The 24,052-nt window shown below is 54.8% G+C and overlaps 3 protein-coding genes across 25 annotated transcripts in view, besides 5 other annotated features; 1 reads left to right on the forward strand and 2 right to left on the reverse strand.

Moving 5' to 3' along the window:
* On the forward strand, nucleotides 159-4,054 carry SAC3D1 (SAC3 domain containing 1). 7 transcript variants are annotated; one of them, NM_001367487.1, is made up of 4 exons: nucleotides 159-332; nucleotides 512-1,092; nucleotides 2,251-2,390; nucleotides 3,451-4,054. In NM_001367487.1, exons 2-3 carry the CDS (start codon nucleotides 519-521, stop codon nucleotides 2,346-2,348), a joined length of 672 nt encoding a protein of 223 aa, NP_001354416.1. In that variant the 5' UTR covers nucleotides 159-332; nucleotides 512-518; the 3' UTR covers nucleotides 2,349-2,390; nucleotides 3,451-4,054. The 7 variants fall into 7 exon arrangements, 5 of the variants coding, with proteins under 5 accessions (NP_001354416.1, NP_001354414.1, NP_001354417.1 ...); NR_160028.1 differs by lacking the exon at nucleotides 512-1,092; NM_001367485.1 differs by lacking the exon at nucleotides 2,251-2,390.
* Nucleotides 355-1,034: a silencer, noted in NCBI's record as "silent region_3506". NCBI's record gives its function as "represses an Ori minimal core promoter by ATAC-STARR-seq in GM12878 lymphoblastoid cells {active_cell/tissue: GM12878}" and the evidence as "EXISTENCE:reporter gene assay evidence [ECO:0000049][PMID:35858748]".
* Nucleotides 1,055-1,104: a silencer, noted in NCBI's record as "silent region_3507". NCBI's record gives its function as "represses an Ori minimal core promoter by ATAC-STARR-seq in GM12878 lymphoblastoid cells {active_cell/tissue: GM12878}" and the evidence as "EXISTENCE:reporter gene assay evidence [ECO:0000049][PMID:35858748]".
* Nucleotides 3,056-3,602: an enhancer, noted in NCBI's record as "H3K27ac-H3K4me1 hESC enhancer chr11:64811302-64811848 (GRCh37/hg19 assembly coordinates)". NCBI's record gives its function as "activates a minimal SCP1, AML or CMV promoter by ChIP-STARR-seq in naive H9 embryonic stem cells {active_cell/tissue: H9 hESC(naive)}" and the evidence as "EXISTENCE:reporter gene assay evidence [ECO:0000049][PMID:30033119]".
* NAALADL1 (N-acetylated alpha-linked acidic dipeptidase like 1) lies at nucleotides 4,044-20,429 on the reverse strand. 15 transcript variants are annotated; one of them, XM_047426169.1, is made up of 19 exons: nucleotides 20,234-20,429; nucleotides 17,563-17,633; nucleotides 17,304-17,476; nucleotides 17,101-17,222; nucleotides 16,597-16,719; nucleotides 13,681-13,964; nucleotides 13,476-13,580; nucleotides 12,717-12,802; nucleotides 12,444-12,563; nucleotides 7,526-7,611; nucleotides 7,378-7,441; nucleotides 7,207-7,274; nucleotides 6,873-6,964; nucleotides 6,701-6,791; nucleotides 5,671-5,752; nucleotides 5,415-5,588; nucleotides 5,253-5,340; nucleotides 5,048-5,140; nucleotides 4,044-4,683 (listed from the first exon to the last, which is right to left on the reverse strand). In XM_047426169.1, exons 2-19 carry the CDS (start codon nucleotides 17,601-17,603, stop codon nucleotides 4,497-4,499), a joined length of 2,079 nt encoding a protein of 692 aa, XP_047282125.1. In that variant the 5' UTR covers nucleotides 17,604-17,633; nucleotides 20,234-20,429; the 3' UTR covers nucleotides 4,044-4,496. The 15 variants fall into 15 exon arrangements, 12 of the variants coding, with proteins under 12 accessions (XP_047282125.1, XP_011543009.1, NP_005459.2 ...); XM_011544707.3 differs by lacking the exon at nucleotides 20,234-20,429 and adding an exon at nucleotides 18,149-18,247; NM_005468.3 differs by lacking the exon at nucleotides 20,234-20,429 and having other exon boundaries at nucleotides 17,563-17,779.
* Nucleotides 6,324-7,202: an enhancer, noted in NCBI's record as "H3K27ac-H3K4me1 hESC enhancer chr11:64814570-64815448 (GRCh37/hg19 assembly coordinates)". NCBI's record gives its function as "activates a minimal SCP1, AML or CMV promoter by ChIP-STARR-seq in primed H9 embryonic stem cells {active_cell/tissue: H9 hESC(primed)}" and the evidence as "EXISTENCE:reporter gene assay evidence [ECO:0000049][PMID:30033119]".
* Nucleotides 7,203-8,081: an enhancer, noted in NCBI's record as "H3K27ac-H3K4me1 hESC enhancer chr11:64815449-64816327 (GRCh37/hg19 assembly coordinates)". NCBI's record gives its function as "activates a minimal SCP1, AML or CMV promoter by ChIP-STARR-seq in primed H9 embryonic stem cells {active_cell/tissue: H9 hESC(primed)}" and the evidence as "EXISTENCE:reporter gene assay evidence [ECO:0000049][PMID:30033119]".
* The window catches only part of CDCA5 (cell division cycle associated 5), a 22,948-nt gene continuing 19,214 nt past the window's right edge, over nucleotides 20,319-24,052 (reverse strand). For 2 of the 3 annotated variants that reach the window (XR_001747758.3, XR_001747757.3), the window contains 2 exons: nucleotides 23,164-23,333; nucleotides 21,928-21,964 (listed from right to left, as the gene is read on the reverse strand). Coding sequence is in view for 1 of the 3 variants with exons in the window: in XM_011544743.4 (XP_011543045.1) it covers nucleotides 20,319-20,429 (111 nt within the window). In the remaining 2 variants the exon portion in view is untranslated. Of the gene's footprint in view, nucleotides 20,430-21,927; nucleotides 21,965-23,163; nucleotides 23,334-24,052 lie in introns of those variants that run through there. The other variant, XM_011544743.4, reaches the window with a different exon arrangement.

Raw genomic sequence — 24,052 nt, forward strand, 5'->3', positions numbered from 1 at the left:
TATTGGGTGGAAGGGACGAAGGAGAGGAACCCAAAGCCCGGGTACTTGTCTCAGAGGCCCCAAAGCCAAATCCTGATTGCTCAGCGGGCTGGAAGGCGTGGCCTCAGCCCCGCCCCGCCCCGCCTCACCACAAAGCGGTTGGTTGCGGCAGGGACTACACCGGTGTATCATGGGAGCGGCCCGGGCTACACGTTAAAAACACTAAGGGGAGCGCGCGAAGCTGAACTTGGCGCTCGATGGGGGCCGTTAGCCGCCCTAGAGCGCGCGGAGCCGCAGAGGCGTAGCTGGACTACAACGCAGTGCATCTCGGGAGGCCAACTCGACTGGACTGGGTGAGAGGACAGAGGTGGCTCGATGGGCGGCCCGAAGGCCGGGGATCATGGCGGGAAGGCGGGCCCAGACAGGTTCAGCCCCGCCCCGACCCGCCGCTCCCCACCCCCCGGCCGGCCTCGCGTGCCTTCCCGCAGCACTGCCGTCCCCGGGATGCTGAGCGCCCACCGTCTCCCCGCAGCCCCCTCATGCCCGGCTGCGAGCTGCCCGTGGGCACCTGCCCGGACATGTGCCCGGCCGCCGAGCGCGCCCAGCGCGAAAGGGAGCACCGCCTGCACCGCTTGGAGGTGGTGCCGGGTTGCCGCCAGGACCCGCCCCGCGCGGATCCGCAGCGCGCGGTGAAGGAGTACAGCCGACCCGCCGCCGGCAAGCCCCGGCCCCCGCCCAGCCAGTTGCGTCCGCCCTCCGTGCTGCTGGCCACCGTGCGCTACCTGGCCGGTGAGGTGGCGGAGAGCGCCGACATCGCCCGCGCCGAGGTGGCCAGCTTCGTGGCAGACCGCTTGCGAGCTGTGCTCCTGGACCTGGCGCTGCAGGGAGCGGGCGACGCCGAGGCAGCTGTGGTGCTGGAGGCGGCGCTGGCCACGCTGCTGACCGTAGTGGCGCGGCTCGGGCCCGACGCGGCGCGGGGACCCGCGGACCCGGTGCTGCTGCAGGCCCAGGTGCAGGAGGGCTTCGGCTCGCTGCGGCGCTGCTACGCGCGGGGCGCCGGGCCGCACCCCCGCCAACCCGCCTTCCAGGGCCTCTTTCTGCTCTATAACCTGGGTGAGTCGGGATCCTGGCGGCTGGGCAGAGCGTGGGGACAGGAGCCCACCATGACAGTGGAGGTAGGGAAAGGAAGGATTAGCTTTAACATCTCACCATTAGCCCCCTCCCAGGACAGCACAAGATCCACCGAGCCCCGACGTGGGACCTCGGGCCCATCTCTGGGTCTTAGTTGTCTCAGGAATAAAAGTGGAGGGGGCAAGGGTGGAAAGGGAGAATTGGTCTAAATAGTGATTTTCAAACTTTTTTTTTTTTGAGTCTCGCTCTGTCGCCCAGGCTGGAGTGCAGTGGCGCGATCTCGGCTCACTGCAACCTCCGCCTCCCTGGGTCAAGCGATTCTTCTGCCTCAGCCTCCTGAGTAGCTGGGATCACAGGCGCGCGCCACCACACCCAGCTAATTTTTGTATTTAGTAGAGACGGGGGTTTCACCATGTTGGTCAGGCTGGTCTCGAACTCCTGACCTCGTGATCCGCCCACCTTGGCCTCACAAAGTGCTGGGATTACAGGCGTGAGCCACCGCGCCCGGCTGATTTTCAAACTCTTTTAACCTCCCCGCCCAGTCAGGGTTACCAAGCAAACAAGAACACATATGCCCACGAATATACCTGAGACAGAAGTTTAAGGCATTAGAGATACTTTCTATGGGCGATGCATTCCAATAAACTCTTATTATTTGTTTCTTTCTTTGTTTTTGAGACAGAGTCTAGCTCTGTCGCCCAGGCTGGAGTGCGGTGGCATGATCTTGCCTAACTGCAACCTCCGCCTCCCGGGTTCAGGCTATTCGCCTGCGTCAGCCTCCCAAAGAGCTGGGACTACAGGCGTGCACCACCACACCCGGCTAGTGTTTGGATATTTAGTAGAGACAGGCCAACACCATGTTGGCCATGCTGGTCTCGAACTCCTGACCTCAAAATGATAGCTCACCTCTGCCTCCCAAAGTGCTGGGATTACAGGCGTGAGTCACTGCACCCGGCCTGTTTGTGTTTTTTGAGACAGGGTCTCACTCTTGCCCAGGCTGGAGTACAGTGGCTTAATTATAGTTCACTGCAGCCTCAACCTCGTGGGCTCAAGGGATCCTTCTGCCTCAGCCTTCCAAGTAGCTGGGACCACAGATGTATGCAATCACACCCGGCTAACTTAAAAAAATTTTTTTTGTAGAGATGGGATCTCGCATGTTGCCACTCGAATTCCTGGGCTCAAGTGATCCTCCTGCCCCACCCTCCCAAGTAGCCGGGTGTGGCCATCATGCCCAGTGAATGGTTTATTTTTGTCCACACTGTTCCTCTGAAGAAGGCATGGTAATTATCCCTGGTCTAGTGGGGGAAGAAATCGAAGCCCAGGGTGGTGAGGTGACTTGCCTGTTGACACAGCACTGGTTAACAGTAGTAGTGGCAGGACCATGATTTTCTTTTCTTTTAATTTTTTAAAATTTATTTTTATATAGGGATTGGAGTCTTGCCATGTTGACCAGGTTGCTCTCAAACTCCTGGGCTAAAGTGATCCTACCGCGTTGGCCTCCCAAAGTGCTGGGATTACAGGCATGAGCCACTGTGCCCAAATAAGCTCTGTTCTGGCTGGGCCCTCTCTACTAAAAATGCAGAAATTAGCTGGGTGTGGTGGTGCATACCCGTAATCCCAGCTACTCAGGAGGCTGATGCAGGGGAATCACCTGAACCTGGGAGGTAGTGGAGATTGCAGTGAGCCAAGAGCCACTATACTTCAGCCTGGGTGACAAAGCAAGTCTGTCTCAAAAAAAAAAAAAAAAAAAAAAAAAAAAGGCCCTGCCCTATACAATTTTAACAAAATGCTGTTGACTTCACAACCTACTTATTGGTCAGAAGCCCCAGTTTACAAATGAGGGCCAAGGTTCCAGTGTCTGAGACTCTTCCAGAAGGGAAGCAAGGGCAGAGTCTCCTGAAGGAAGGGGCCTTCCCAGGTGGTCAGGGGAAAGTGGGGCAGAGTTGGCTTCCAAAACTGTGGGTACAGGGAAGCCAGGGTAGTGGGAAATCCAAGTCCGAAAACTTGGACTGGGGTCAGGCTCAACTACATACCCGCCCTAGGACACTCTCAGGCGAATCATTCAATTATCTGGGCCAGCTTCCCAAATCCGTAAACCCTGCCCACTTCAGTGTTGTAAGTAAGGATCTGGACTGCAGGAAGTCAAGAGCCTGAGGCCACTCATTCAAATATAGGTTGGGGAAGGAGCCAAAGGCTGGCCCTTAGAGGGGAGAGGGAAGTTGGGCTAGGCCTAGAGAAGGGGCGTGGTCGAGGAGAGAGGAAGGACAGGGTGTTGGGAGGGGAGATGAGCCTGATCCTGTAAGGACCAGGCGTCCTCATTCTGGCTTCCCGCTCTCACAGGCTCGGTGGAAGCCCTGCATGAGGTTCTACAGCTGCCTGCTGCCCTGCGCGCCTGCCCGCCCCTCCGCAAGGCCTTGGCGGTAGATGCTGCCTTCCGAGAGGGCAATGCTGCCCGCCTGTTCCGTCTGCTCCAGACCCTGCCCTACCTGCCAAGTTGCGCTGTGCAGTGCCATGTGGGCCATGCCCGCCGGGAAGCCCTGGCCCGCTTCGCTCGTGCCTTTAGCACCCCCAAGGGCCAGACCTTGCCTCTGGGCTTCATGGTCAACCTCTTGGCCCTGGATGGACTCAGGGAAGCACGGGACCTGTGCCAGGCCCACGGGCTGCCCTTGGACGGAGAGGAGAGAGTTGTGTTCCTGAGGGGTCGCTACGTGGAGGAAGGGCTACCGCCTGCCAGTACGTGCAAGGTGTTAGTGGAGAGCAAACTTCGAGGACGTACCCTGGAGGAGGTGGTCATGGCAGAGGAGGAAGATGAGGGCACGGACAGACCTGGGTCCCCAGCCTGAGGAGGGAGCGTGAGCCTCCCAGAGCCCCAGGACTGGGCCAGAGCACTTAGGTTTCTTTTTCCATGGTTTCCAGGTAATAAAAGGAACTTGTTTTGTTGGTACCAGTCACTAGATGTGATTTATTTGAGGGGCTGTTGTAGGGAGTTAGGATACACAGCATGCAGGGAGAGGAACGCAGACTAGCCAAGGCCTAAGGTACCCCAAGACTCACTTTCGCCACTGGTCCTTGGCCTTGATGACCTGAGTTGGCATCTGAGGTTGGCACGCATCCCATCTCCACCCACCTGCCACCAAGGGCAGTTGGTGGTTTTGCCATCCCATCCCTGTCCCCTGCTGCCCACCCTCTGCCACCTAAGCACCAGGATGAGGGTGAGTTGCATTAGGGCTTGCCACTCCCCTCAGGGACCTCAAGCTGTTGCCTGAGAAGCTTGAGAGGGTCCTGTGGTAGTGCCCTCTTCTGGCACCAAGGAAGACCAGGACATCTCAGGAAAGCAGGCAGGAGAGGGTTGGAGTAAAGGGAGGGCTGAAGAAAGAGGGCTGGGGTCAGAGGTCAGCCACAGGCCTCAGGGTGGCTGCCGCACCCTCCAGGGCTGTCACCACAATGCTGAGCTGTCTCTGGACCTCAGCCCAAGCTTCAGATCCAGAAGCTGTGTCCCTGGCCCTGGAGCAGGCATTGGATAGGCCCGGGAATGTGACTACGGAGCCCGTGCGAGGTGCCCAGAGCACATGGCTGACAAGAGAAATGGGACAGGATCAGGGTCAGTCAGTCAGGGGCCAGGAAAGAGAAGCCTGGGCCTAGAACTGGCTCAGCTCCTGTACGCAGCGAGGCAGAAAAGCACCCCCGTCCACTTGTCTCTGAAGGCCAGGGAGCTCTTACAGCAGTGGCGGTCGGGGGAGGAAATGTGGGTTCCAGTCCTAGCTCCCAGAGGGACCCTCAAGCAACTTTCCTCCCCTCCCTGAGCCTTACATTCCCATCTTCTTCAGGGGCTGGGTTGCACTCTAAAGGGCAGAGAAGCTGACCACCTCGTCTCAGGTGGGGAGCCATTGTCCGGCCCCACCTGGAGGCACCTCCCAGGACTCTGGGACAGACTCACCTGTAGTAGCGTTCCTCTGGGAAGGCTCTAGGGTTCAGAAAGGTCCGTTCCAAGAGCATCAACTGGTCATTGAGCATCCGGACCTGCAGGGGGCTGGTGGGGAGGCAGGAACTGCCAGTCACCCTGGAGCCAGCAGCCCAGCTACCAGCCTGGTATCCTGCCCTGGGTGCTGCCCTCCCAGCCCCTGCCCGCTGCCCTTGCTCACTCAGGGCTGCCCTTCTGCAGTGTTGATATGCGTTGGCCCAAGGCTGCAGCTTCTGCCTCAAACTTCTCCACTGCAGTCACCAGAGGCCCTGTGAGGAACAAGCAGTGGCTCAGTCATGGGGGTGCAGGGCTCCCCATACCTCAGGGTCAGGGCTGTGCATACCCAGGCTGATGCTGTGCTGCTCCAGCAGGGCCCCAAGATCTTGCTGGGCTGCCTGCAGGAAGCTGCGGAGTGTCTCACTGTAGTCACTGACTTTGAGGGGCAGGAAGAAGCTGTCACTGAGCCGGAGAATCACACTCCCCGCTGTCCGGGCCACAGCCTGATGGCTGCTGAAGCCTGCGGCAAGGTGACAAGGCCAGGGCTCAGTCTTCAGCCTCTCCTGTCCTGGTCTCAGGATGCCCCTTGTCTCCCTCCTCACCCGGGTCCAAAAACTTGTCCACATAGTCAAAGGTGTCAAAGGCTGTGTGGTAGGTGGGGTAGATCCTGGCTGAAGTCTTGCTCTGGGGGAACAAAGCCCAGAGGTGACAGGCTTGGGATGGGAAGTGGGAGAAGGTGTACCTCCAGTGAGCTGCAAAATGTGGGCATTATCTCCACTGAATCTTGGCCATGTCTGTGAGGTGGCTTCTAGAATTCCCACAGAAAAGGAAACTGAAGCTCAGAGAGGTTAACCTGCTGATATCACATAGCTAATTAGTGGAAGAGCTGGGTCTGGTGCCAGTTTCCAGTTTCACAGAAAGGAGAAGAACCTGGGGCTTTGGGGTCAGATAGATTCAAATCCCAGCTCTACTACCAAGAATCGCTGTGGCTGTGAGGTGGAGAACATACTTTTTGGAGCATCAAACAGGGAGGTGCCAGCTGGGCACTCTGCACCCCTTGTCTTGTTTTTACCTTCATGCCAACGCTCACGCCAATGGTCTGAGTTAATCGATGCTGAGATTAACTTCCCCCCTCCCACCCCCGCCCCTACATTTTAAGATCTTTGGAAACAGAATGCTTCTCACAGGCAATGCCATCTTACAACTGGTTGGAAGCGGTGGTTTTTTTTCCTTTCCTGAATATTGCATAACATAACGGCACATCTTATAATCAGTAGTATCTTACATTTGATAAAATAACATAGATGAGCATAAAGAGGTGCTTGAAAAGGTTAAACTTGGCAGAGGCCGGGCACCAAGGCTCACACCTGTAATCTCAGCACTTTAGGAGGCTGAGGCGGGAGGATGGTTTGAGCCCAGGAGTTCAAGACCAGCCTGGCAACAAAGCAGGACTTCGTCTATATAAAACGTGTGTGTGTATTTCTGTGTGTGTGTGTGTTTTTTTTTAAGAAACTTGGCAGAGGTAGCAATGAGTAAAGGTGCAGGGTTCAGTCTGTATGAGAACAGCCACAAAGAGAGGAGGGGGCGCATGCAGCAAGGTACCGAGGCAGGGACGGAGGGGCGCCTGCTCACCCGGTCATAGGTATAGGCAATGTCCATGGAGGAGATGCCCAGGAAGTGAACGAAGGGTGCATAGTCGCTGCCAGCACCCAGAGAACCCAAGCTGCGGGAAGGAAGGGGGCCGGGATAAAGAGCGCTGGGCCGGACCGCCTCGCTCCGGGCCCCCTTCTGTCCCTGGGCTTACCTGGGGACCAGGCCGTACACCGGGCTGCTGCGGTTGAAGTACCGGATCCAGTTGTCGTAGATGCTCAGGTCGCCAGGGCCTGGTGAGCGGATCTGGCCGGAAGGAGAATTTAGTCTCGGTGCGCGGCCCTCCCCAGCCCCAACAACAGGGCGGGTTCTCCACCGGTCTCCTGCCCACCCGTGGTCCAGTCCTTACGAGGCTTGCCCCAGCCTCAGTCCAGCCCCAGCAGATCTAGAGAGTACCACTCCCCAGCCCCGCCCACCCGTAGCGGCCCCGTCCGCCGCACGCGGCCCGCCCCAGCTAGTTCAGCCCCGCCCGGCCTGCCCCCTTCCACCTCTTTGGTTGCAGAGAAGACGACGCTCTGGACAGGGGGCGTCCCCTGCACCCTAAGGGTAGCGTTGGCTGTGGGAGGAGGGGAGAAAGACTATTTGGGCCCCAGCCCCTTCTTTTACCCACCCAGTCGTCCCGCCGTCTCCTCCCCTTTCCTGCCCCACCACCCACATACCAAACACCGAGATGTCCACGTTGATGTAGGCCACCGTGCGCTCCTGCAGCTTGTTGAAGAACTCCTGCGGGTGCGAGGGGCGACGTCAGCCCCGCGCCGTTCTGTCCTGGGAACCCCTTTCGATCCCCTACCCTGTAGGGCCACTCACTTCTGTGAATTCCGTGGAGCCAATGAGCCCAAACTCCTCAGCCCCCCAGCTCGCAAACACGATTGATCTGCGAGGACGCCAGGTGCCTGGGAATGGGGGATAGAGGGTTGGAGGACAGGGTCCTCCTGATCCTAGGGTGCCTTAGGAGAAAGGCTGCTGACGTGAGGAGGGGAGAGCGGGAAAAGGCGGGGCAGCTGGTGACAGGATGTCCTGGCACCCTGCAGCCAGGCCTTCCAGGAGGCTCCCGCACCAAACACTGACCCCAACTCCAAGCCCCCTGAAGGGTCGGGTGGTCCCTTCTACCAGAATGCCTACTGCCCCTCTCTCTCTGTGGGCATGCTCTGGGAAGACTTCCGACCCTCCACCCTCAACCCCCGCCTCCAGGCCAAACTCCATAGCCATCTTCACTTGGTGATAACACAGGAACATTTCCTGTTAGGGCATTATCCACGTGGAACCAATCCCTACAACAATGCCTTGAGGGAGATACTATTATTATTTCCATTTCACAGTTGAAGAAGCTGAGAGAAGCTAAATGACTTTCCCAGGGTCACACGGCTGGTAGGCAGCAGAGCCAGTTTCAAATCCAGATATTTGGCTCCACACTGTGGGTATAGGGACTGGAGGTGGAAGCCAGGTTGCAGGATGCTCTGCCTCCCGGGTTCAGGCAGGAGAATCGCTTGAGCCTGGGAGGTAGAGGTTGCAGTGAGCTGAGATCGTGCCACTGCATCCAGCCTGAGGGACTGAGTCTCACTCTGTGGCCCAGGTTGGAGTGCAGTGGTGCGATCTCGGCTCCCCACACCCTCAACTTCCTGGGGTCCGGCGATCCTCTCACCTCAACCTCCCAAGTAGCTGGGACCACAGGCACACACCACCGCGCCTGGCTGATTACTGTATTTTTGGTAGAGATGGGGTTTGTCCATGTTGCCCAGGCCAGTCTTGAACTCCTGAGCTCAAGTGATCCACCCACTTCAGCCTCCCAAAGTGCTGGGATTACAGGTGTGAGCCACCGCAACCAGCAAATGAAGAATTTTTCAGTGTGATGTGATTACACGCTTGCAATTATACATTTTTACAATTTTTTCTGCCAAAAATGTATAATCTAAATCAAATGAGCCAAACCCAAATTGAGGGTTATTTGACAAAATAATAGGATAATAATAGCAGGATCATGAAAGACAAAGAACAGCTAAACAATTATTATAGACTAAAGGAAACTAGTAACCAGATCACTAGTGTGATCCTGGATTGGAGCTTGGGCCAAAAAATTATTTTGCTATCAAGGTCATCACTGGGCACAGTGGCTCACGCCTGTAATCCCAACACTTTGGGAGGCTGAGGCAAGGAGGATCACTTAAGCCCAAGAGTTCGAGACCAGCCTCAGTAACACAGCAAGACCTTGTCTCTACAAAAAGTAAAAAAGTATCAGGGCTTGGTGGCGCACACACCTGTAGTCCCAGCTAATCAGGAAGCTGAGGCAGGAGGATCGCTTGAGCCCAGGAGGTCGAGCAAGCAGTGAGCTGACTGCACCACTGCACTCCAGGCTGGGCAACAGAGTGAGACCCTGTCTCAAAAAATATTTTTTTCTTTTTTTTGAGATGGAGTCTCACTCTCATCAACCAGGCTGGAGTGCAGTGGCGCAATCAGCTCACTGCAACCTCTGCCCCCCAGGTTCAAGCGATTCTCCTGCCTCAGCCTCCCGAGTAGCTGGGATTACAGGCACCCACCACCACGCCCAGCTAATTTTTGTATTTTCAGTAGAGATGGGGTTTTACCACGTTGGCCAGGCTGGTGTTGAACTCCTGACCTCAGGTGATCCACCCACCCCGGCCTTCCAAAGTGCTGGGATTACAGGCATGAGCCACGACACCCAGCTGGAAGCATTTAAAAGTTGTGGGGGCTGGCGCGGTGACTCACGCCTGTAATCCCAGCACTTTGGGAGGCTGAGGTGGGCGGATCACGAGGTCAGGAGATTGAGACCATCCTGGCTAACAAGGTGAAACCCCATCTCTACTAAAAATACAAAAAATTAGCCAGGCGTGGTGGCGGGTGCCTGTAGTCCCAGCTACTCGGGAGGGTGAGGCAGAAGAATGGTGCAGACCTAGGAGGCAGAGCTTGCAGTGAGCCGAGATGGCGCCACTGCACTCCAACCTGGGCGACAGAGCGAGACTCTGTCTAAATAATTAAAAAAAAAAGTTGTGGAAAATTGGCTGGGCACATTGGCTCACACCTGTAATCCCAGCACTTTGGAAGGCCAGAGCGGGTGGATCACCTGAGGTCAGGAGTTCGACACCAGCCTGGCCAACACGGTAAAACCCCATCTCTACTGAAAATACAAAAATTAGCCAGGCGTGGTGGCGCATGCCTGTAATCCCAGCTACTCAGGAGGCTGAGGCAGGAGAATGGCTTGAACCTGGAGGGCAGAGGTTGCAGTGAGCCAGATTGCGCCACTGCACTCCAGCCTGGGTCACAGAGCAAGACTGTGTCTCAAAATAATAATAATAATAATACTTCAGACAAAAACATATATAGTTATATTATAAATAGCCAAGGCTTTTTTCCCCTATTTTTTGTAGAGACAGGGGTCTCGGTATGTTCCCCAGGCTGGTCTTAAACTCTTGGGCTCAAGCGATCCTCCTGCCTCTGCCTCCCAACGTGCTGGGATTATTGGCATGAGTCACCGTGCCTGGCCCATATATTATACAGAGATAGAAAGCAAACGTGATGAAACATTAATATTAGGAGTGTCTGTATAAGAGGCTTCTTTGTACTATTTTTACATCTCTGTAAGTCTGAAATTATTTCAACATACAACACTTTGACAAACAAAAAAATATGGGAATTTCTGCGCTACCCATAAGGGTAAAGTCGAAAGCCCAGCCTCTCTCCACAAGCTTGTCCACTCCCTCCACCCCTGGCTTCTGAGCTGATCTCAGCAACACCTGTGGTTTCACAGACTGTTTTGCTACCAACTCCCCAAGTCATCTCTCAAGTCTCTCTCTCCTTTCTTTCTTTCTTTTTTTTTTTTTTTTTTTTTTTTTTTTTTTTTTTTTTTGAGACAGGGTCCTTTTCTGTTGCCCAGGCTGGAGTGCAGTAGTGTGATCACGGCTTACTGCAGCCTCAACCTCCCAGGCTCAAGTGTTCCTCCCACACAGCCTCCGAAGTAGCTGGAACCACAGGCACATGTCACCACGCCTGGCTATTTTTTTATGTTTATTTTTTGTAAAGACAAGGTCTCACAAGGTTGGTCTCGAACTCCTGGGCTCAAGCAATCCGCCCACCTCAGCCTTCGAAAGTGCAGGGATAACAGGCATGAACCACTGTGGCCAGACTTCAGGTCTCATTTCTGAACTGCGACATCATATCATACAAGGGGGGGGATGGAGTTTGACAGCAGTGGCGTGTTTGTGTGCAATTACAGTTGAGTGGGTATCGGTTCAAATGCCATGCTTAGCACTCTGGGATATTATATGTAAGGGAAGATGAAGAAGTTCTGGAGCCAATGGCAGTGATGGTTGCACAACTTTAGAAATGTACTTAATGCCACTGAATCAAATACTTACAAACGTAAAACTGGTCAATTTTGTTATGTATATTTTACCATGAATTTTTAAAACTAACGAAAGAGGGCCTGGCGTGGAAACTCAATGCCTGTGGATCACTTGAGTCCTGGAGTTCAAGACCAGCTTAGGCAACACAGCGAGACCCCATCTCTATAAAAATAAATAACTAAAACTAAAACAAGAAATTAATATGGGAAGACCCAGATTCACATCTTCCTTCTAGATCTGTCCTAGATCCACCCAGTTATTTTTCTTAAATGGCACTAATGTCGAGTCGCTTAGACCACAGCCCTCGACTTGTCCTCCCTCTTGCCCCTGGAGCCAGCAGACCCGGGCCCAGCAGCCTGTCCCTGCCCCACTGCCCTCCATCCTGGTCCAAGCCCCACAGCATCTCCAGCCCTGGAATGACAAGCGTCTGCCTGGCCCCCCTATGTGGAGTGCCCTTCCCCTGCTCCCCGCTTTTTTTTTTTAGACGGGGTCTTGCTCCATTCTCCCGGCTGGAGTGCAGTGGCGCGATCTCAGCTCACTGCAACCTCTGCCTCCCAGGTTCAAATGATTCTCCTGCCTCAGCCTCCCAAGTAGCAGGGACTACAGGTGCACACCACCATGCCCTGCTAATTTTTGTATTTTTAGTAGAGACGGGGTTTCACCATGTTGGCCAGGCTGGTCTCGAACTCCTGACCTCGTGATCTGCCTGCCTCGGCCTCCCAGAGTGCTGGGATTACAGGCGTGAGCCACTGTGCCTGGCCAGGAGCCGTTTAACATGAGGACTCTATCATGTCCCTCTCCTGCGTGAAATCCTTCACCGGCTTCCCACAACCCTTGGACTGAACTCCAAACTCCTCAGCCTGGCCTGGCCCTGCCTGCTCTGCCACCTCGCCCAGCCCTGTCCACCTCCTTTCTGGCTGCCACCTCCTTGCCCTCCTCTCCTTCCCTGAAGCACTGAAACGCTGAAGTGCTGCCTCCACTGAGAGACTTGTCCCAACCTGGCCTGCCATGTCAAAGGCACACAAGACATTAGAGACATCAGAGTTAACAATCGGCTGCCGTCCCTGACCCAGCTGAGCTAAAGTTCCCGGAGGGCAGAGCCTGGGCGCTGCCTGCTTCACAGCAGCATCGGGCCTTGCTCCATCCAGGCACACGGGAGGCACTTGGAAGCGGCACATGAATCAACCCACAGTCTATTCCCTGTACCACACTGGGCTGCTGCAGGCCAAGGCTGGTGTCATGCATGTCTGCCCCCAGGGCCCTCAGGCATGGCACAAGGAGCACTGCAGTGTGAGGGAGAGGAGGTGGAACAGGAAGGGGACCTCCGGGGGCGAAGGTCCCTGGTCCAGGGGAGGGGGCCGCCTCACCCTTCTTCAGCAGGGTCCCCAGGACACGGGAGAGCTCCAGGAGGACGGCGGTGCCACTGCTGGGGTCCACAGCCCCGTGCACCCAGCTGTCTCGGTGGTTCCCATACAGCACGTAGCGATCTGGCCAGAGGAAAAGGGGCAGAGAACCAGAGGAGAGGGAGAGGTGGGCAGGGGGAGCTGGGCTGGGTGGTGGCAAGGGCAGGGCTGGATGAGGACAGCGGCATCCAGAGCAGAGCAGGGGCCTGGGGTGCAGGCAGCAAGAGGAGGGCTCACCAGGCTCCACAGCCCCACGGATGATGCCCAGGACGTTGGAAGAGTTCCTCAGCTCCAGGCGGTTGTAGACGCTCACATTCACCTGGCTGGGGAGGGTGAAGGGTGTGAGAAGACTCTTGGCCTTGCCCACTGCCCCCGACCCAGTGCAGGAGACACTGAGGCCCGGAGCTGGAAAGTGACGTGGCAAGGCCATTCATTGGCCCCGAAGTACCAAGAGAGGCAGCAAGGCTGGAGCCAGGCTCTCCTGCCTACTCGCTGGGTAGGTACTTATTGGGTACTTAGTCCCTGACTAGTCTCTGGGCAATGACGGTGACAGATGTGGACCTGGTTCTCGTGGGGCCTCCCTCTCCTGAGTGAGACAGACCAGGAGGACAGGAACAGCTGGGTGAAGGGGCCTGGGAGGAGAGGGCACCTGGAGGCCAGTGGGTGCTGTAGGGAGGGAGGTTGGTGCAGGTTGGGAGTGGCAGGGGCCCTGATTTGGGAAGGAGCTTGGCATCTTCAAGAGAGGGAGTCGTGAGTTACAGACGTCAAGATGAGGTGGGAGGGGCAGGGGAATCCCCACAGGAAACAGCAGCAGCTGTTTCACGGGCTTCCCCAAAAACAAGACATATTTTGGGGTCAGGAGAGGGTCTGGGAGAGAGAGGAAAGGGAAAAAGGTCAGGCTTTGAAGTGGAAAGAGGGAACATCATCACAAGGGAAGGGGAGAGGCGAGTTGGGGGAGAGGGCAACTGAGGGAGACCTGGTCTGGCTGCATCTCACCTGTCTGCTGGGAAGTCTCCGTCAGGCCGGAAGCCGGGACCCAACCTGTAGTGGCAGCCCAGTGCTCCCTGCCAGGTGGCTGGGGCCAAAGTTCCGTTGAGGTTACTGGGGAGGAGGAAGAGGCCCTTCAGGGTAAATGTGAGTGTGGGGCTTGAAGTCTGGAGGCCACTGGGGCTGGGCAGGACACCCCAGGGCACAAACTCACCAGAGCAGGTCTCTTGCATCCTGGAAGCCAATGGGCTGTGTAGGAATTGGGGGAAATCCGGAGACATTGGCAAGGTCCACGCGGAAGGAAGAGGGGACGGCTGGAAGGTAGGGAGTCAGAGGGTCCCCAAAATACTCGTAGTAGGAGCCTCGCTCCACTCCTGAGGGGGGCAGGTACCAGGAGTTGGGAAAGGTTTCGTCGGGTGAGCTCAGCCCATCGTTGATGTCGGCAGGGTCTGTGTACACCAGCACCCCAGCTACCCCGTGCTTGGCAGCGTTCACAGCCTGCAGTGGGCAGAGGAGGCTGTGTGTAAGGGAGGGACCGGGACCAGATATGTCCTATTCCTCTTCCTCCTTCCTCGACTGTGGAAGCCAGGATAGACCAATCTTCCATGGGCAAGATGACGTTTGCACAAGTCATTTATGGCAGTGCCTCTTGCAACAGTAAAGGCCAGTTCGGCACAGCCAAGCCCGTGCCTATCAGTGGAGTCTGGTTGAATAACAGGGACATCCTACAGTGGAATACCATGAAGCTGCATAAAATAACACAGTTGTGTACTCATGTCCACAGCAGCATTATCCTCAACGGCCAAAAGGAGGAAATAGCCCAAGTGTCCATCAACAGATGAATGGCTAAACCAAATGTGGGCTGTAACATACAATGGAGGCCGGGTGGGGTGGCTCACGCCTGTAATCCCAACACTTTGGGAGGCTGAGGCAGGCAGATCACCTGAGGTGGGATCACCTGAGGTCAAGACCAGCAGGTAGATCACCTGAGGTCAAGACCAGCCTGGCCAACATGGTGAAACCTTGTCTCTACTAAAAATACAGAAATTAGCCAGGTGTGGTGGTACACACCTGTAGTCCCAGCTATTTGGGAGGCTGAGGCACGAGAATCGCCTGAACCTGGGAGGTGGAGGTTGCAGTGAGCTGAGATCATGCCACTGCACTCCAGCCTAGGTGACAGAGCAAGACTCTGTCTCAAAAAAACCCCAACAAACAAACAAACAAAAAACAATGGAATATTATTCAGCCTAAAAAGAAAGAAAGTTCTGATACATCAATGAGCCTTGAAGATGTTATGTTAAGTGAAATAAGCCAGACATAAAAAGACAAATATCTTATACTTTCACTTATGCGAGGTACCTAGAATAGGCAAATTCATAGAGACAGAAAGTAGAATTGAGGTTACAGAAAATAGAATAGGGGCTGGGGCAGGGACCTGGGGAGTTATTGTTAAATAAAGTTTCTGTTTGAAATGATGAAAAGGTTCTGGAAATGGGTAGTGGTGATGGTTAATTAATAATCTGTGTATTTCTACACTGCTTGTTCCCCTTTCTTTTTCTTTTCCTTTTTTCCCTTTCTTTTCTTCCTTCCTTTCTCTCCACCTTCCTTCTTTCTTTCTCTTTTCCCAGCTCTTATTATGGACACCTTTTTTTTTTTTTTTTTGAGATGAGGTCTTGCTCTTGTCCCCCAGGCTGGAGTGCAATGGCATGATCTCGGCTCACTGCAACCTCTGCCTCCTGGGTTCAAGTGATTCTGCTGCCTCAACCTCTGAGTAGCTGGGATTACAGGTGCCTGCCACCATGAGCGGCTATTTTTTGTATTTTTAGTAGAGACAGGGTTTCACCATGTTGGCCAGGCTGGTCTCGAACTCCTGACCTCAGGTAATCCACCTGCCTTGGCCTCCGAAAGTGCTGGGATTACAGGCATGAGCCACCGCGTCCAGCCCACTTTTAAAAAAATTGTGGTAAAATACACATAACATAAACTTAGCATGTGGAGTATGCAGTTCAGTGGCATTCAGTACATCCATATTGTGCAACATCACCACCATTCATCTCTAGAACTCTTCATCTGACAAATCCGAAACTCGGTCCCCATTAAATACCAACTATCCCTTCCCCTCTCTCATTCTACTCTTTTTATATTAATTTTGTTTGTTTGTTTGTTTTTTGTTTTTAGAGATGGAGTCTCGCTCTGTCACCCAGGCTGGAGTGCAGTGGCACAATCTTGGCTCACTGCAACCTCCACCTCCTGGGTTCAAGCAATTCTCCTGCCTCAGCCTCCTGAGTAGCTAGGACTACAGGTGCACGCTGCCACACCCAGCTAATTTTTGTTTTTTTGTATTTTAGTAGAGATGGGGTTTCACCGTGTTGCCCAGGCTGGTCTTGAACTCCTGAACTCAGGCAATCCGCCTGCCTTGGCCCCGCAAAGTGCTAGGATTACAAGCGTGAGCCACCACGCCCATGCCCAGCCTTTTTTTTTTTTTTTTTTTTTTTAAATCAGAGTCTCGATGTCTCCCAGGCTGGAGAGTGCAGTGGTGCAATCTCAGCTCACTACCATCTCTGCCTCCCAGGTTCAAGCAGTTCATCTGCCTGAGCCTCCCCAGTAGCTGGGATTACAGGCATGCACCACCATGTGTGGCTAATTTTGTATTTTGAGTAGAGATGGAGTTTCACCATGTTGGCCAGGCTGGCCTTGATCTCCTGACCTCAGGTGATCTGCCCACTTCGGCCTCCCAAAGTGCTGGGATTATAGGCGTGAGCCACAGCGCCCGGCCCCTAGTCAGAATTTTTGATGGAAAAGAAATGGCAGGGAGAGGGCCAACAGGAGGGACTTAAGTTGAATATTCAAAACTATTTCACAGGAGGACTTAGACTTCTGGAATACCAAACCTGAAAATTGTACTCAACCCCTTTATTTCCTACAGCTCAGAGAGGGTCAGGGAGGCATCCGAGGCCACACAGCCCATTGGTGGGACAACCCGAAAACACCTTGCCTTTCCTGCCCCACCCTGGGGCTTGGTTCCCCACTCAACACTGCCTCTTCTCCTTCCCCTTCCCCTCACTTCCTCCAGTCCACTGCCCAGCCCCTTCCTCACCGAGGCCTCCTGCACTGGGGGACTGCCACTCACCTTGGCCCCACGCCCTACACCCCCATATCGAGTCAGGGCAATGGTGCCTTCAAGTTTGATGCCCTGAGTCTGTAGCTCCTTAAAGTCTTCTTCCGCGCCCCGGTTGGCATAGACGAGGAGGCCCTAGTCCCAAGAGGGGGTGATCCTTAGAGCTGGGCCCAGCGAAGTGTGGGTGGGGAAGGGGGGTGGAAGTTTGCATGGCAGGAGGGAGAATTTAGATTCTGTTCCCCCACCTCACCCAGAGCTTGTAAGCTCCCCAAGAACAGTCACCCCTCATTTCCTCCATGTCTGGGTGCCCTGTAACAGACCTGGCCTTGAGCAGAGCCACTAGTGTTTGTTGAATGACTGATGGAGGAAAGGAGCAGCGATGGAGTGTCCCGGTGAGTAAATTCCGGAGGGCGCGCTGTGCCCCAGTTGAGGCACGTTCCCTGGGTCAGGGTGGGGAGAACCCTGGGTGGAACCAAGGGAGCTGGGCCAGAGCAGTAGGGGGGGTTCTGGGCCCACCTGTGGGGTTCCAGAAGGAGCATAGGCAGCATAGGGTTGTACCACATCTGGCCCCCCTTGCTCCCCGGTCACGTTCTCCTCAGTCCGGTGGCAGGAGTGGATGATGCCCCCAGTGGGGCCCACTGTTGGAGGGGTGGCAGTATCATGGCTGGGCCCAGCAGCTCCCCACCCCCGGGCATTCCCAAGACTGGGCAGGACCTCACCGATGTCCACGACGTTGGGCTGCTCCTGGCTAGGGAAGGACAGCAGCACTTCGTACGTGGAGGCCTCGGCCGAGTCCAGGCCTGACTCTGGGTCCTTCCAGCGCTGCAGCAGCAGCTGCACCAGGTCCTCATCCCGAGGGCTGGAGGCCAGGTGTGGCTCCCTGGAGAGTTCTCTGCAGGGTGGGCAGAGGGAGGGGCAGGGCCAGCATCAGGGAGGGGGCCTCTGGCAAACGGAGGAGCAGATGGCCCCACTTCTCACCTGAGGTTCTCCCGGATCCTGTGGGCATCCAGCTGCCCCATGACGGTCTCCAGGATCTCCAGGTCCAGGTCCTGGGGGGCCAGTGAGTTGGCTTTTTTGGGGATGGCAAAGTGGCCGAGGATGATCCCCAGCCCCAAGAGGGCAGCAGCCCCCAGCCCCAGCCCCAACACCTTCGTCCACTGCATCCTGCGGACTCTTGGCCAGCTGGGGTAGGACTGGTCTATAGGTTATTCCCTATAGAGGGGGTGTTGTGCCTGGTTAAACATTACCCCATGGGTGGCACTGCCCTTTGACCCCCAGCTGGCAGGGAGAGTGAGGGAACATCCCGCAGTGAGAGCCAGGAGCCATCCACATCCACCACATCCTGCACCATTTGCCTGGAATGGCTCTCCAAGGGCAGCAAGGTCACCCAGGGACACTGAAGCCGAGAGGGAAGGGGCTCATCCAGGGTGTCCCAGGAAAACAGAGGCCAAGCCAGGGCTGGAACTCAGAGCTCCTGTGTTCACAGCAGGGCCGTGCCCACTGCCCACCCTCACTGCCTCTGCCTCCCTCCAAGGCAGCCGATCTACAGCATACCCAGCCCTACCTGCCTGAGCAGATTTTGAGTTGAGATCCCCCTTCTTGCTGGACGTAAGCTGTGTGACCTTGGGCAATCCACTCAGCTTCTCTACACCTGTTTTCTTTTTTTTTTTTCTAGACTGTGTCTTCCACTGACACCCAGGCTGGAGTCCAGTGGTGTGATCTCGGCTCACTGCAACCTCCACCTCCCGGGCTCAAGTGATTCTCCTGCATCGGCCTCCCGAGTAGCTGGGATTACGGGTGTGCACCACCATGTCCAGCTAATTTTTGTATTTTTAGTAGAGATGGGGTTTCACCATGTTGGCCAGGCTGGTCTCAAACTCCTGATCTCAGGTGATCACCCGCCTCAGCCTCCCAAAGTGCTGGGATGACAGGAGTGAGCCACCGTGCCGGCTATGGTGTCATTTTCATTAAACAATATGGCATCTGTAGAAATAGCTAGTGCAGTGTCTGACATGTAGTGGGAGCTCATCAATTTTAACTACTCATCCCTCATCTGACTCTGGAAAATGTAAGGCCTAGAGCTAAAGGAAGAAGGAGGACCCAGAAGAACTCTCTGTGTCTATCCTGAAGGGAGCCCAGCGATACGAGGAATGGGAGTCCTGGGAAGGGAGGCTGTCCCAGAGGAGGCAGCAGGGGAAGCCCATGCCTCCCTGGCGAGGTGACTTCCTCTTCTATCCCCTGGCTCTGCCTGGACTCCGTCATCCACCCTCCTATTTATCCATCCACCCATCCCTCCATTCACTTATTCATTCCTTCCTTTATACATGCAAGCACTGTTCATTCTGTGCTATACTAGAGCCATGCAAGGCTGTGGGGAAGCAAAATCCAGCAGGCGAGGCAGACAGGCTTTAGGTTCAGCCATGTGGTAAGTGCCCTGTAGAGGGAGGATCACCATGCTCCCAGTGAAAGAGTGAGGAGTTCTGACTAGGAGGGAACATCTGAGGGGGTCCTCCAAGGCTGAAAAGGTGTTCCAGCATTTGCAAGGGCTGAGAGGGAAGTGAGACCCCAAGTATGCCATACACATACTGAGCCTCTTCCAGACCTCACGGAGAGCCAGGAGGGGCTGGGGGGGTCCCTAGGGACTTGAGCTGGGACTTCTCCCACCCTCCCATGGCCTATCCTGCCTTGACTCTGCCTCGCAGGTTGCAGCCCATGGATGGGCTCAAAGATGCCTGCAGAGCTTGGGGGCTGGATCAGGGCAGAGCGTGTGTGTGTGTGTGTGTGTGTGTGCACGTGCATGTGTGTGTGTGTGATTTCACAGACCCCTCTCAGAGCAGCCTCCTTCCTGCTCACAACCCCATTTTGCTGGCACCACCATCTCTTGTGCTGCTGGTGAGGAGGTTCAGCATGGGAGGACTAGGGGTGGCTGGGAAGGGATGTCATGTGATCAGTGACTTCAGGGAGGTGCACCAGGAAGCCACAGTTCTTGGCAACGTGATTATCGACGCCCAGAATATGACCTTGGATCTTATCAGAAGCCCATCGGTGCAGGGAGCATACACCTTCCTTATGAGGACACAGGACAGTCACCACCAGGTGGGGAGTGGGATGCCAAGGTCAGCTGATAAGTTGAGGGACTGAGGCAGCAACCCCATGGTCCTACCCCACCCACTCCTGGAAGGATTTAACCCCTCAATCATGTGAAGTCACAAACAGGACGCCTGGACAAAAGTGTGTGACATCTGAGTGATAACACCTGGGACTGTGGTTTGTGTTGGAGAGTGTGTAAACAGCTGTGTGTGTGACACCCAAGAGATCCACTCAGGCTGTTGGAATCCACTGGTGTCTACATGGCTGTAGGCACCAGACGTTAACTTAGTCAATTTTCTTTCCTTCATCTTTGCTGTGTGGGTGGTATGGCCCCTCCCAGAACATTCTGGATTGTGGGAGTTCCTAGAAATAACTTACGGTAGTTAGAGCACATGAACACCTTTCATTTTCCTGCCTTATTCTCCCAATGGCTCTGGGTCCAAGGGGTCTTCAATCCTCCAGGACCAGCAATGCACTGCTGCTGGCTCCCTCCCCACTCTCCACCTGCCCCACACACTTGCCTCCGTCCCACCCTCCTTCACCTCCCACGTGTACTCACCTTGCCCAGTTTGAGGCCCTGGAAGCCCTCTTAACCCCCAATCCTCTCTGCTTTGGTCACATCCACTGGGAAAACACCATTCTGGTTACTTCTGACTCACTTTCTGCTTCTTCTGCGCCTGCACCCTTGCCCCTGGATGTGCCTGCAGAGTCACGTGGCCTCCCGGACACCATGTTGTGAAGACACTCAAGCAGCCCTGTGGACAGGCCTCATGGTGAGGCGCTAAAGCCTCCTGCCAACATTCAGCACTAACTTGCCAGCCCTGTGAATAAACCAACTTGGAAATGGGTCCTCCAGCACCAGCCAAGCCGTCAGAATACAGCGGCCCCTGCTGGAATCTTGACTGCAGCCTCACGAGAGTCCCTCAGCCAGTACCACCCAACCAAGCCACTTTCAGATTCTTAACCTGTGGACACTGTGTGAGATAATACATGTTTATGGTTTTGGGCTACTAGGTTTTGGAGTGATTATAACCGAGCAAAATAGGCCAGGCGCGGTGGCTCACGCCTATAATCCCAGCACTTTGGGAGGCGGAGACGTGCGGATCATGAGGTGAGGAGATCAAGACCATCCTGGCTAACATGGTGAAAGCCCGTCTCTACTCAAAATACAAAAAAATTAGCCGGGCGTGGTGGCGGGCACCTGTAGTCCCAGCTACTCTGGAGGCTGAGGCAGGAGAATGGCGTGAACCTGGGAGGCAGAGCTTGCAGTGAGCCGAGATAGCGCCACTGCACTCCAGCCTGGGTGACAGAGTGAGACTCCGTCTCAAGAAAAAAAAAAAAAAAAAACAAAAAAAACCACAGCAAAATGGAGAACCAATACAAATGACTAAATATAGACCAGAAACCCGCAAGTATATGTCTCCAATCTAACCCATCCCCGAACTCTTGTATTTCCAGCTGCCTAATTTTTTTTTTTTTTTTTTTTTTTGAGACAGAGTTTCGCTTTTGTTGCCCAGGCTGGAGTGCAATGGCGCGATCTCGGCTCACCGCAACCTCTGCCTCCCAGGTTCAAGTGATTCTCCTGCCTCAGCCTCCTGAGTAGCCGGGATCACAGGCATGCGCCACCATGCCCAGCTAATTTTGTGTTTTTAGTAAAGATAGGGTTTCTCCATGTTGGTCAGGCTGGTCTCAAACTCCCAACCTCAGGTGATCCGCCCGCCTTGGCCTCCCAAAGTGCTGGGATTACAGGCGAGAGCCACCGTGCCCAGCCTGCAGTGGCCTCTTAACTGGCCTCTCTGATTGTATTCTTGTCCCCTCTAGTTTTTTTCTCTACATAGCAGTCAGACTCATCTTTGTGAAACCCAGGTCCGCCATGTCACGACCGTGCTCACAGCCCTCCAAGTCTCCCTTTACACTCAGAGTAACAGTCATGACAGTGGCCATAGAGCCCTTCATGTCTCAGACCCGGTCCCCTCCCTGTCCTCCTCACTCACGGCTCCTGTAGCTCTGGCCTGCTACTGTCCCCTGAGCCTACCAGGCACACTCCTGACTCAGTGCCTTTGTGTTGGCAGCTCCCGCTCCCTAGAACCCTGCTCCCCAGCTGTCCACAGGGCTCCTTCCCTCAGGTCCTTTGTGTCTTTGCTCAAATGTCACTTCTCAATGAGCTCTTCCCTGACTACTCTATCTGAAATTGCATTCCTGGCTGGGTGCAGTGGCTCATACCTATAATCCCAACACTTTGGGAGGCTGAGGCAGGAAGATCGCTTGAGTCCAGAAGTTCAAGACCAGCCTGGGCAACATAGTGAGAATCCATGTTTAAAAATACATAAATAAAATAAAATTGCATTCCTCCCCCTCCCTCAGGCTTCCTCTTCCTCTGTGGCTTCATTTTTCTCCATTGCATCTATCCTCATGTTACTTGTTCATTATTTCTTGCTGCCCCTCCCAGAGCGTAAGTTCTACCAGGGCAGACATCTTTGTTTTATTCACTGCCGAAGCCCCAGAGTCCAGAGCAGTGCCCGGCACCTATGAGGCACTCAACAAGTATTTGTAGATTGGAGGCAAAGCTGACCTACGCCAGCACAGCAACTCAACACTCCTGCTCCAGCTGTCTTCTGTCCAAGGGGTGTTCAGAGCAATAAGAGATGTAAAAGGTGGGCACGAGACCCCTGGGAAGCAGATCCCCTCTGGGTAAGCCCCACCAGACTGCCAAGGCAGCCATGCATAGGACACCTGCGTAACAGGCGCAGGTGCCCTCACAAGATGGGGATGGGATCTAACAGACTTTCAGTGCTGGGTGTTCCCAAAGGATGACGTTGCAGGATGGAGGAAGGCCCTGCCAGGCTGCAGGGTCTGGCCACCCTCTTGGGCAGGAATACCAGGCCCTTTAGTGGGGAAGGGAGCCTGCTGGGAACACTGGTACTCAGAGCTGCTCCCACTGGGCCTGCAAAGCCAGTTTGGGGGCCAGGGTAGATCCACTGGAGATCAGATAACAGTCGCCAACACATGGAATGCACCAAGTCCACACAAAATCATTCATCCTCCGAGGTGGACACAGTGGAACCCCATGTTACAGATGAAGATGTGTGTCCAGGCACTCAGTCAAGGTCACACCAGACAGCAAGGGGTGGAGCTGAGAGTAGAATGCAGCGCCTGCACATTCACGAAGCTATCCCACCTGCCATCACTAGGCAGGAGAGAGGCATCCCATTCTGCCCCTCACTAGAGAAATGGTGCCAGCCAGACAGAGGAGGCTGATTTGCTAACCCAAGCCCAGTGCCTTGATGACAGAGGCCCAGGAGGTGTGGGCACAGCTTGTGACTCACATGGTAGCCTCCTTTGACTGGGAGAAATGTGTGTGAATGAAAGGACCAGGTAACACCCTGGGGCCCACGCAGCTTTGCTGTGGGACCTTCCTTGACAGGAACCTCTGGGCTGGGCTGGGACTGCTTGGATGCAGTGTCAACAGGAGTGGCTGCAGGGACTGACCTCAGGACAGCCAGTGAAGGATCCCTGAGCTGCAGAACCATGGCCAGGATGCATTCGAATCTATAAGCACTTCTGTGGTTTGGAGCTGGTTGGGGAGGGGGCTCCGTAATAGACTCCATTTCCTGCAGCCAAGCAGTATTCATGTAACCTTATTCGAGCGCTGTCCCAGGCTGAGACATAATTAAATAAAAGCATAATTAGCCGGGTGCAGTGGCTCACACCTGTAATCCCAGCACTTTGGGAGGCCGAGGCAGGTGTATCACAAGGTCAGGAGATCGAGACCACCCTGGCTAACACGGTGAAACCCCGTCTCTACTAAAAATATAAAAAACTAGCCAGGCATGGTGGCGGGTGCCTGTAGTCCCAGCTACTCGGGAGGCTGAGGCAGGAGAATGGCATGAAGCCAGGAGGCAGAGGTTGCAGTGAGCTGAGATTGCGCCACTGCACTGTAGCGTGGGCGACAGAACAAGACTCTGTCGCAAAAAAAAAAAAAAAAAAAGCATAATTAGTCTCTCTCTGTGTCCTTTTAAAGGAAACATCAAATGGGACCATGCTGATGACTGCATCTTATTGACAGAAGTCCTTAAATGGGTAATTGATTTAGCTGTTGATCCAACTACCATCAACCTCAGTACCCTATGATTCCCTTTGGGAAAATTGCAAGACAGCTGTTTGTACAGCAGGGCCCCTGGTCAAGGACAGGTCAGGAAGTAGGTGGTTGGGGAGGTCTGGGATCCCTACAGCCATCGGGTGAGGAGGGTAGAGTCTCAGAAGGGGTGGGCTGCTAAGTCAGAGATGTTAGTCTGGGAGCGGTAGCTAATGCCTGTAATCCCAGCATGTTGGCAGGCTGAGGCGGGAGGATTCTTTGAGCCCAGGAGTTTGAGACCAG

The sequence above is a fragment of the Homo sapiens genome, chromosome 11, assembly GCF_000001405.40.
Source record: "Homo sapiens chromosome 11, GRCh38.p14 Primary Assembly".
In the NCBI taxonomy this organism is placed as follows: domain Eukaryota; kingdom Metazoa; phylum Chordata; class Mammalia; order Primates; family Hominidae; genus Homo; species Homo sapiens.

Bases quoted from the DNA above. Each gene is read 5' to 3' on its own strand.
- SAC3D1 (NM_001367485.1), top strand. From the start codon at position 519: ATGCCCGGCTGCGAGCTGCCCGTGGGCACCTGCCCGGACATGTGCCCG. The intron at 1,093-3,450 runs GTGAGTCGGGAT...CCGCTCTCACAG, and splicing joins CTTTCTGCTCTATAACCTGG to GCTCGGTGGAAGCCCTGCAT.
- NAALADL1 (NM_005468.3), bottom strand. From the start codon at position 17,747: ATGCAGTGGACGAAGGTGTTGGGGCTGGGGCTGGGGGCTGCTGCCCTC. The intron at 17,477-17,562 runs GTGAGAAGTGGG...CCCACCCTGCAG, and splicing joins AGGATCCGGGAGAACCTCAG to AGAACTCTCCAGGGAGCCAC. The intron at 12,564-12,716 runs GTGAGCCCTCCT...TCCTCTGGCCAG, and splicing joins CCGTGGGGCTGTGGAGCCTG to ATCGCTACGTGCTGTATGGG.